This window comes from Homo sapiens, chromosome 2 (assembly GCF_000001405.40).
Source record: "Homo sapiens chromosome 2, GRCh38.p14 Primary Assembly".
In the NCBI taxonomy this organism is placed as follows: domain Eukaryota; kingdom Metazoa; phylum Chordata; class Mammalia; order Primates; family Hominidae; genus Homo; species Homo sapiens.
The window spans coordinates 99,489,423-99,500,406 of NC_000002.12; the positions used below are offsets into that span (position 1 = coordinate 99,489,423).

The following is a 10,984-nucleotide window of genomic DNA, read 5'->3' on the forward strand; positions in this document are numbered from 1 at the left end:
CGGCGCAGGAGGAAGGAGTTTGCGGCGCGGTCTGACCGGGCCGGCGGGATGCGGCCGGGCGCGGAGGGAAGGGCCGCTGCGCCAGGGGTCGGCGCGGGGCGGCCCATGGGGCTGGCGGCGGCGCGGGGCCGGCCGCGCCATGACGGAAGGGAAGGGGAGGGGAGGTCACACATTACATAACCCGGCGGCTGCGAGCGTCAGGGGAAGGCGCCGTGGACAGCCCAGGCCGCGACAGGACGGCCGCGGGCCGGGGCCGGGGCGACGCACCCCTCCCCCGCGCCACCTCAGGCCGACCGCGCTCTGGCCGCTGCCGGGCGGGTCTGCGGCGCCTCCGGGCGACGCGTGTCCGATCCCGCCCCTCCCCCACCCCGCCGCCGGCCCGGGGGTCGCTCACCTTCCGCGTTGCCCCAGACCACCATGCCCGGGCCCGGCGGCCTTCTCCGGCCTTGCGGACCCCGGCCCCGCCGCCGCCAGTGCCCTCGCCAGGGACCAGGGAGGAGGGCCGGGGGAAGGCAGCCCCACCGCTGAGCAGCGCCGCGGTCCACGCTCCCCCACGCTCGCGGCAACCAACCCCGCGCGCGCTCCGCGGTGGCTCTCCGCCCCTCCCCCTCCGGTTAGCGCGCGCGCCGCAGCCACGCCCCCTAGCGTTCCGCGCGCGCTCCCCGGCCCCGCTCGCGCTCACAGCCGCGCGGCGCACGCGCTCTGCTCCCCCCGGCCCGGGGCGACCCCAGCCTCGGGCGTAGCACCGCGGCGCCCGGCGTCGGCCTCCGTGTTCCTCCCCTCCCCGGCCCCGCCCTGTTGTTCTGCAGCCGCCCGCAAGGGGCAGCGCCTGGGCGGCACGTGACCGTCTCGCTAGCTGGGCGGAGGGGAGCGCAGCGCGGGCCCGCCCACGCACTGCGCCGCCTGCCCGCCCGTCCTGCTCCGGTCACCCCCGCGCTTCGTTGACCGGGTCGCGGCTCTTCGGTTGCCATTCGGACAGCGCGCCGCTCCGTGCACAGCGAGTCCCCGCGCCTGCCCCGCCTTGGGGCTCCCCAGTGGGGAAGGACACAAGTGCAGACACTGACCGGGCTTCAAACCCCGGTACTGTGTGAAGATGCGCCAGACGCCCGGGTTCCCTCCTTAAGCAATTGATTTACAGTGACATCTAGTGGAGAAAGGGACACACATGAACTGACATTTTCCTATGTCCAGAGCAACCGAGAACCACGGCCCACTCAGGTTCGCGGGAAGGAGCACTGCGCCACGGCGTTTTCGGGATTCGTGGCCTGCTCCCGCAGGGCACAGACACTATCTTCTGTCCTTTGAGTGCCCGGGCAGCATTGCGCCTGAGTATTTGTAAACGGAGGGCCGGTATCCCATCCCATGTACAGCGCTGGAGTTACCCGAGAAAGCAGTTTTCTATGAATATAAAAATAATATCCTATATTATGTATGCGTAAGTACAATTCTAATTGAGGGCCTTCTAGCAGAAAACAATCCGTCCATAAGGACCACTTTCTCCCTCTTGGCAGGGTCGCTTTGAAGACTCCACATTGTTACATAATAGTCTTTATTGTTGTAATGCACAAACATGAAGATACTTTTTTCCCACTCATTCCCTTGCCTAAAATGCTTCAGAGTTTGCAGGTACTTAGGAAACAATCAGTATTCTTTTGAAAACTGATTTGCAGAGTTGGAACTTGTTTACTAGCAACACAGAGAATACTCAAATAGCTCATTTCTTTCCCTTTCAGTTTTTTGCCATTTTATAGACTTCTATAAATGCACTTCAACTTCAGTATTCTCGTCGCTAATCCAACGAATTTAGATTGCATACTTTTCAAAGACGTCATAATTTAAAACAAATTGCGTAATTGCTTTCTTTTCTTTTCTTTTCTTTTGAGACGAAGTTTTGCTCTTTTGCCCAGGCTGGAGTGCAATGGCGCGATCTCGGCTCACTGCAACCTCCGCCTCCCAGGTTCAAGTGATTCTCCCACCTCAGCCTCCCGAGTAGCTGGGATTACAGGCATGCGCCACCATGCCCGGCTAATTTTTGTATTTTTAGTAGAGAGGGGGTTTCACCATGTTGGCCAGGCTGGTCTGGAAGTCCTGACCTCAGGTAATCCACCAGCCTTGGCATCCTAAAGTGCTAGGATTATAGGCGTGAGCCACCGTGCCTGCCCATAATTTTAACAGACTCACGACCAGTTGCCGACTGCAACACCAGGAGGTCATCTGCTGAGATGCTACAGAAAAACAGTGGTAACCCCTTGTTATGGGTGAGTTTTGTTTTGGTTGTTGTTCTTTTGCTTGTTTTAAATGTCTAAATGGCAGCATTCCTGCACGATTGTATTTCAATTTTCTTTTCCACTCTCGTATTCAAACCGAAGATCTTTTTTTTTCTTCTTTTTGTATTTTTCTCAAGGAAGAAACACAAACCTTGAGCCAACTGACCTTGGCAATACCTTTATAGAATACAGTAAAATGGTATTAACTGCAAACTAGTAGGCAGCCTCTGTAAAGGACGAAAAAAAATCACGTTGCTGTCTACATAAAATAGGATAAAAAGAGAGATGGGGAATACATAAATAAAAATGTATTTATGGACAAATTCTAGCATCCTTGTGACAGGGTCTTGCTCTGTTGTCCAGGCTGGAGTGCAGTGGCAAGATCATAGCTCAGTGTAACCTCAAACTCCTGGTCCCAAGCGAACCTCCCACCTAGGTGTTCCAAAGCACTAAGATTACAGGCATGAGCCACCTCACCCAGTCCAAAGTTTTATTTTTGTCCATTCCAGAATATTATGTTTTATGCCATCACATAATGAAGTCCTCTTGTTTCAATTTCATGCACCTACATTTATTCACCCACTTATCTATTTATATTTATTCTCATAGGATTATCTTTCTCATGTAAGGGGAGTCAGGCTGACCTTTGGGCCACTCTGGGGGTCTAGAGATGGCCGCGCTGGACCCCTACACTTGGGGGAGTGCTTTGGGGCACTGTACCTTATTTCCGTTTTCTGAACCTCATTAAAATTCATTTCATTACTGCTATCTCAAAAGGCCTATGAAAGTGCCAACCACTGACCTTTGGAGGGACAGCCATGGATAAGGACATGACTTCTGTCCTTTCACCTCTGTATCTGGCAGTAAACTTTCCTTGGAAACATTTACATCTAGTCTCTCAAATACCAAAAACAAACAGCATGAAACTACTAAAAACAGAGGTTTGTACTCAAGTCCCTTGGCTGATGTAGACACAATAACATGTGATTTACTCCATAGGAAAGAGTGTGCTGATTGTAATAAGGATTCAGTGCATTATGCTGAAAGATGAAATAATAAGGCAGAATGATCTCACACCCACAGAAACTTAGGAAATTGGCAGTGGAATTGGTTCACCAAGACTGAACTCTTTCAAACATACCATCATGTTTGACAATATGACTGAACTCTTTCAAACATACATGGACAGGTGTATATATCTGTATTTAAGCAACACTGTTCACAGATTTTAGGATGATGCAACAATCAGTTATCATGTACATTCTATATGCCTGTCCCTGTGCCAGACCCTGTAGGGTCAACAGTGGACAAAATACATTGCCTGCCCCCAAAAAGCTCCCAGTGTAGTGAAGGAGGCAAACAAACAGGTACCTGCAGTACAGGCTCAGGGCTGTTACTTGAGGGCAATCTATGAAGCACACAGGACAGGTGTCAGGGAGGCTTCCTAAAAATGTGACATCTCAGTAAGTTCTGAGAGACTAGTCCAGTTGGTTAGGAAATGCCATTTCCAGAGGGAGCGAGATGTGCAAAGGCAGAGAAAGGAGAGAGAACAGGGAACATTTTAGAAACTGCAGAGTGCAAAGTGCAGAGTGGTGTGGGCTGTGGGGAAGGGTCCATGTTGAAAAGGGAGGTTGGGGAGGCAAGTAGGGTCCAGCGCATGAAGGGCCTGGTGTTAGTCTGTTCTCACGCTGCTGTAAAGAACTTCCCTGAGTCTCAGTAATTTATAAAGGACTGAGGTTTAATTGACTCACAGTTCCACATAGCTGGGGGGGGCCTCAAGATACTTACAATCATGGCAGAAGGGGAAGCAGGCACCTTCTTCACAAGGTGGTGGGAGAGAGAAGAGAAAGCAAAGGAGGAAGACCCCCTTATAAAACCATCAGATCTAGTGAGAACTCACTCATTATCACAAGAACAGCATGGGGGAAACCGCCTCCATGTTCCAATCACCTCCGTCCTTTGACATGGTGGCGAGGGGATTACAGGTCCCTCCCTCGACATGAGGATTAAAATTTGAGATGAGATTTGGGTGGGGACACAGAGTCAAACCATATCAGGCCCCATAAAGTATCTTACTGCATTTTGACTGTATTCTGAGGGTGCAATGAACCCTTGAAAGGTTTTAGGCAATAAAGTGAGTTTTGAAAGTCTCTCTGGCTGATGCATGGAGAATGGGTTTGAGAGGTGGTCACGGGGTCTTGCAATAGTCCATGTGTACAGGTGCAGCCTAGAGAAATTAGGGGGCTAGATTTCACCAGGGTAGGGGGTCTGTAAAGCAATATAATGAAACAAGAAGAAGGCAAGGAAGTTGAGGGTGTAGGCAAGTGGGAAATCATAATGATTGATTGTGGAACTTAAGCTGAAGGGGAGAGAGCACATGCCAAGGGTAGGTGGAGGTTGCTGAAAGATGATATCAATGGGCGGGGGCTGAAGGGCAGGCATGGAGGTTGTTTGAAAGGCTCTTTGGAGTCAGGTATTAACATTACATTACATGTGGCAATGACAAGATTGCAGAGGGAGTTAGTGGCTGAGATACAAGGGAGGACAAAGTCATGGAAGAGAGAAGTTCAAGGATATGAGGGGCCAGAGTGAGAGAAAGATCATCTCTGTGTATATCGAAATCATCAAGAATAAAGACTGGAGTCGTGTTGGAGCAAGGGGCAGTGAGCCAGAATACGATCTTGATGGCTCCAGGTCAGAAGGATGAACATCATTCAGTATATTCCATTCTAATATAGTAGTGGTCTTAGGACAGAGGTTCCCAAACATTCTCTGTTCATGGCATCCTTAGTACCTCAGTAATTTTTTCCCAGCATCCCTAAGAGTTTTGCCAAAAGCTATATCTAACAGTTTTGCTTATTAAATAGGTAGGGCCAGGCCAGGTGCGGTGGCTCTAGAGTGGTAATTTTTTTTACCAAGTGGATATCCTCTTCAGCAATCTTTCACCATATGGTTTCAGCATCTATTAATGATTCTGGCCTGAATAAACCATTTTATTGATGTCTCAGTCTATTTTGATTGCTGTAAAGGAATACCTGAGTCTGGTTAATTTATAAAGAAAAGAGGAAGGCTGGGCACGGTGGCTCACGCCTGTAATCCCAGCATTTTGGGAGGCCGAGGCGTGTGGATCACTTGGGGTCAGGAGTTTGAGACCAGCCTGGCCAATATGGTGAAACCCCATCTCTACTATAAATACAAAAATTAGCTGGGCATGGTGGCAGGCGCCTGTAATCCCAGCTACTAGGGAGGCTGAGGCAGGAGAATCGCTTGAATCTGGGAGGCGGAGGTTGTAGTGAGCCAAGATCCTGCCATTGCACTCCAGCCTGGGCAATAAAAGCGAAACTCTGTCTCAAAAAGAAAAGAAAAGAAGTTTATTTGGCTTACAGGTCTGCAGGCTGTACAAGAAGCATGGCTCTGGTATCTGCTTTTGGTGAGAACCTCACTCAGGCTGCTTCCAGTCATGGCAGAAGGCAAAGGGGAACCAGCATGTCATTCCAAGAGAGGAAGCAAGGGAGAGCGAAGTCCCAGGCTCTTTTCAAAAATCAGCTCTCTCAAAAACTAATAGAGCAAGAACTCATTCATCACTTTCAGGATGGCACTAAGCCACCAAACTGTTCTTAAGGATCTGCCTGCATGACCCAAACACTTCCCACTAGGCCCCATCTCCAGCATTAGGGATCAAATTTCAACATGAGTTTTGGAGGGGACATACATCCAAACTATATCTAGTGGGTTGCAAAGGATGTTTTCCTAATTCCATAATTCCTTCTGCATTTATTAGTTGGCATTCTTCAAAGAACCTCCCATACTAACTGGGATAAACTATAATTTCTTCTTAAAAAGCAGCCAAGCAGAGTCTCAGCCTCCTGGATATCAGCTATTGTTCCTAGATGTGACTCTGATGGGCCACTTTCCTACCTCTTGCTGACTCTTAAATTGGACAACTTCCGCCTCTGACTCAGCATTTGAAATTAATTTCCCATGTGGGAATTTGCAAATAATCCTTACTAACAATTGATGTGTGCAGGACGGCCCAGCCACTGGCTTTCCCTGATAATCACAGCGATGACCCCAAGAAGTGCCCAAAGTTTGGTTATGTGTGACTAGTTTGTGTCTAAAAATGAGACCAAATGGTGCTTCTAAAAAATTCCAGTGACTTTCCCAAAGCTTTTTTGCTGGTCGTTTTCACACAATAGGTGTTTCATTTCTAAATTGTTGTATACTCTGATTTGGTCTTTCTGTGTTGCTTTGTTTATCATTTATTTTTCCCTTCAAGGTAAACGTGCTTCTTCCTATTTTGAAATCTTTCAAGTTTCACCTATATCTCTGTTTATTTGCTGAATACTCCTGAGACAATAATATCTGGGCTTGGCGCTCTGCTTGGCTGAAATGCATTCTGCCTGTTAATCATTTCTACTATCAGCACCCTTTAACTTAGCCTCCTGGATATCCGCTATTGTTCCTAGATGTGACTCTTCATTTTGGCAATTCTCTACTCTCTCCCTCTGTGAGTAATGAAATTGTCTTTTCAAAATCTAGTCTGTCTTTATCTCTTTTGTACTTTGAACCCTTCTTTTTCCCTGTGTAATAATATTTTATGTCTGTGTATATGGTTAAAAAGCCCATGATTATGAATACTGCTTGCAATATTGAGCCTCTTGATTTTTAAAATATTTTCCTGATTAAACTCATATATCATGATTAATTCTGCTTGTCTTTTATAATTCTCTTATCTTTATTCTGGCTTCTTCATATTATTTTTCTTAAAAGTCCAGAAACAAAAGTCTTCTCTATTGTTTTTTCTTTCTCTTTCTTTCCTTCTTTCTTTTTTTTTTTTTTTTTTTTTGAGATGAAGTCTTGCTCTGTGGCCTAGGCTGGAGTGAGTGGCATGATCTCGGCTCACTGCAGCCTCCACCTCCCAGGGTTCAGTGATTCTCCTGCCTCAGCCTCCCAGGTAGCTGGGATTACAGACACGCACCAACAAGCCCAGCTAATTTTTGTATTTTTAGTAGAGATGGGGTTTCATCATTGTTAGATATGAGTTCTAAATGTCTTTTCAAAGAATCAATATGTCAGTATGTTCAATTCTTTACCTTCTACTTTTAAACTTAACTTCCTCATAAAGCAACCTGTTCCATCCTGATTCATTTCAATCAGCTGCTCCACCCCGACTCATTCTGATTACCTGCTCTGTCATAACCATTTTTCCTGCCAAACCAGTCACCCCATCACTCTCTTTAAATTAGCCAATCGGAATTAGTTTAGCCTGTGTGGTCTAACCCTAGCCAATAGGGGAATGACACAGCAACAGGGGCCACATGCGTCAGGGATAAGAACCCCTTCCCCTCCCTTGTCCAAGTGTGCGCTCACCATTGCTCCATCTCTAAGGGTGCACCCTTCTATAGAAGTACCTTGCCTTGCTGAGAATTAAAAAGAAAATTTTATATTCAGGTGCTATTTCTTTTGCGGCACCAAAACTTTATATATAACACTTTGGGGGCTCACCCGTGATTACATTCCCCTCCTGGGACGGTCTCTGGTTCTCTCTCGTGAGGAGGCATGCGTCCCGCCCCTTGTGGTGGCCTCAGGGGTGAGAAATCAGAACCCACCCAGTGTGAGGAATAACCCAGCTCTCAGCAATGTGGGGGGAAAGAAAAAAAACAAAACTGGCCAGCAGTGTAGCTTAAAGGATCCTCACAAACTGTAGCGATGACTCTGTGCACAGCCCAAGGAAGGAGAAGCTGCAGGAGCCGGTAAAGTATTTCCCTGGTGTTCGGGACCAAGGTAAGAAAGCTTCAGGAGGTGTAGGGGGTGAGGTACTCCTTGGTCGGGTTGGCTTAGAGGTTAAAAAAGAGGCAAGACATCCCCATTGGGGGCATTTAACTTCACACAAATCTCCAGTAGTACAAAAGGTAAGAAATTTCCAGTGGGGAAATTGAGCCTCACCCCAAAAGGCAAGAAATTTCCAGTGGGGGGAGCCTCACCCCAAAAGGCAAGAAATTTCCAGTGGGGGAAATTGAGCCTCACACCAAAAGGCAAGAAATTTCCAGTGGGGGAAATTGAGCCTCACCCCAAAAAGTGAGAAATTTCCAGTAAGGGAAATTGAAACTTGAACCTTACCCCAAAACCATCAAGATGGGAAATACCCCAAGCAAGACAGGGAGCAAGGGGAATAAAGATGGTAACAAATATATCCCCCAGATAACACCCTAGGTCTCATGCTAAAACACTGGAAAGATAATGAAAGGATGAAACATAGGAAAAAGCAACAAATGATAAAATATTGCTGTTTTATTTGGACTCAGGGACCCATCCTCAGACCCTCAATTTTCTGGCCACAGTTTGGGTCAAATGAGGATGTAATGTGTCAGCTTCTAATCTGATATGTTAATGATAAAAGCCCAGTGTCTCAACAAGAACTAGGCTATGCCCTTTGTTGGAGGCAAGGACCTGCCCTCCTTTTCCCTTAAAAACAAATAGGGAGGAACCCAATCTGGCACCTCAAAATGAAAAGTCAGAGGAGCCAGCTCTCATGCCTAAAGACTCCAGCGCATGGGATCCCTGAGACTATCTCCCCCACTCATTGTCCCCAATCTTTCCCCTCAGACAGCCACTACTGCCTCAGATCCCATTCCAAATTCCCCCTCTTCTCACGTTATCCCTCCTTCTTATAACCCTGACACTTGGGAATTACCATCCCATCTCAGCCTGTTCCTTCCCAACCTAAATACCCCTTTCTAAAAGGACTCCAGCATGAAGTAGAACTATGTAAAAAAGATATTCAGAATTTCCCATTTCCCTCCATACCTAAGAGGTCAGCCCCGACTCTCTTCCCTTTGAAAGAGGTACCACAAGGAGGGGGCACCATTGGCTTTGTAAATGCTCCCTTAACCAGTTCAGAAGTCTGGAATCTTAAAAAGGAGCTTAAACCGCTAGTAGATAACACTTATGGAGTGGCAGACCAAATTGACCAATTCTTAGGACCTCAGTTGTACACTTGGGTCGAGTTAATACCCATCTTGGGCATCCTGTTTTCAGGGGAAGAAAGTATGATTCGTAGGGCTGCTATGGTAGTTTGGGAACGTGAGCACCCTCCCGGTGAAAACATTCCTACCGCGGACCAGAAATTCCCCGCCCGAGACCCCTGGTGGGACAATAACAACGCAGATCACCAGGAAAATATGCAGGACCTAAGGGAGATAATAATAAAAGGAATTCGGGAATCAGTACCCCGAACCCAAAATCTTTCTAAAGCATTTGATATACAACAGGAAAAGGATGACCGGCCTATGAAATTCCTAGACAGACTGAGGGAGCAAATGAGGCAATATGCAGGCCTCAATTGGATGATCCCCTTGGGCAAGGAATGTTGAAACTCCAATTTGTCACTAAAAGTTGGCCAGACATTTCAAGAGTTACAAAAGATAGACAATTGGGAAGACCCTCCCCTAAGTGAGCTTCTCAGGGAAGCTCAGAAAGTATACATGAAAAGGGACGAAGAAAAACAGAAACAAAAGGTAAAATGTATGTTTCCACCTTCCAACAGATGGCTCCAAACCCAGGTACTTCTAGACAGTTTTCAGGGAGCCAGAAACTATAAAGGGTCTGAACCCTCTTTTAAAGGATCCCAGCTTCCATCTGGAGGACCAGGGTTCTCGTCTACCAGGCTCCCTAAAGAGTATGGGGGAGAAGGGTTAAAGAATCCCAGAACTAAGAGGGAGGAAGGACAAGATAGGTGCTATAGATGTGGAAGAACAGGCCACTTCAAGAGAGGATGTCCTGAACTAAGAAAGGAGAAAGAAGCCCTTCCACTCATGACTTTTGAGGAAGAATAGGGGGATCAGGGGCTCTGTCTCTTTTATCTTGAGTCCCACCAGGAGCCCTTGATAAATTTGGAGGTGGGACCTAAACATGAGCTTATCACCTTTTTAGTCAATTCAGGGGCTGCTCACTCCTCTGTTTGTTTCCCCCCGTCTAATGTTGCCACCTCCTCAGAGGAACTTTTAGTCTCCAGGATAAAAGGGGAAGGAGAGGGGAGAACAGCCGCATAAGCAGCTGGCAGAGGCAGGAAAGACCAGCAGAGAGGAAAGAGAGCGAGAGAGAGGAAAAAGAGAGAAAAAGGCAGAGAGAGAGGAAGAGACAGAGACATAAAGAGGGAGTCAGAGAGAGAGGAAGAGACAAAGAGGGAGTCAGAGAGAGAGAAAGAGACAGATAGAGAAAGAGATAGAAGTAGTAAAGAGAAAACAATGTACGCTATTCCTTTAAAAGCCAGGGTAAATTCAAAACCTATAATTCATAATCGAATGTCTTCCCCGTGACACTATAACACTCCAATACCACTTTGTTGTCAGTGTTAACAAGGGCATAGCCTGAAAGCACTGAGGCTACTGATGACCCGTAGCCTTTCTATCAAAAATCCTTAAGCCAGTAACCCGCGGATGGCCCAAATGCATTCAATCTATAGCGGCAACTGCTTTGCTAGCAGATGAAAGTAGAAAAATAACTTTTAGAGGAAACCTTACTGTAAGCACACCTCACCAGTTCAGAAGTATCCTAAGTCAAAAAAAAAAAAAAGCAAAAAGGTAGCTTACTAACTCAAAAATCTTAAAGTATGGGGCTATTCCATTAGAAAAAGACGATTTAACATTAACCACTGATAATTCCCTTAGCGGGTTTCCTAACAGGGGATCTAAATCTTAATTACCATACAAAGGTCC

The 10,984-nt window shown here is 47.2% G+C and overlaps 1 protein-coding gene across 17 annotated transcripts in view, besides 5 other annotated features; it reads right to left on the bottom strand.

Annotated features, from left to right (window-relative positions):
* REV1 (REV1 DNA directed polymerase) overlaps positions 1-780 on the bottom strand; it is an 89,726-nt gene extending 88,946 nt beyond the window's left edge. For 13 of the 17 annotated variants that reach the window (NR_135651.2, NR_135653.2, NR_135652.2 and 10 more), the window contains exon 1: positions 395-595. The gene's annotated coding sequence lies outside the window, so the exon portion shown is untranslated. Of the gene's footprint in view, positions 1-394; positions 596-682 lie in introns of those variants that run through there. The other 4 variants (XM_017004311.2, XM_047444723.1, XM_047444721.1 and 1 more) reach the window with 4 other exon arrangements.
* Positions 70-149: a silencer, noted in NCBI's record as "silent region_11810". NCBI's record gives its function as "represses an Ori minimal core promoter by ATAC-STARR-seq in GM12878 lymphoblastoid cells {active_cell/tissue: GM12878}" and the evidence as "EXISTENCE:reporter gene assay evidence [ECO:0000049][PMID:35858748]".
* Positions 220-319: a silencer, noted in NCBI's record as "silent region_11811". NCBI's record gives its function as "represses an Ori minimal core promoter by ATAC-STARR-seq in GM12878 lymphoblastoid cells {active_cell/tissue: GM12878}" and the evidence as "EXISTENCE:reporter gene assay evidence [ECO:0000049][PMID:35858748]".
* Positions 430-1,099: a silencer, noted in NCBI's record as "silent region_11812". NCBI's record gives its function as "represses an Ori minimal core promoter by ATAC-STARR-seq in GM12878 lymphoblastoid cells {active_cell/tissue: GM12878}" and the evidence as "EXISTENCE:reporter gene assay evidence [ECO:0000049][PMID:35858748]".
* Positions 430-1,418: a biological region, named in NCBI's record as "H3K27ac hESC enhancer GRCh37_chr2:100106417-100107302".
* Positions 533-1,418: an enhancer, noted in NCBI's record as "H3K27ac hESC enhancer chr2:100106417-100107302 (GRCh37/hg19 assembly coordinates)". NCBI's record gives its function as "activates a minimal SCP1, AML or CMV promoter by ChIP-STARR-seq in naive H9 embryonic stem cells {active_cell/tissue: H9 hESC(naive)}" and the evidence as "EXISTENCE:reporter gene assay evidence [ECO:0000049][PMID:30033119]".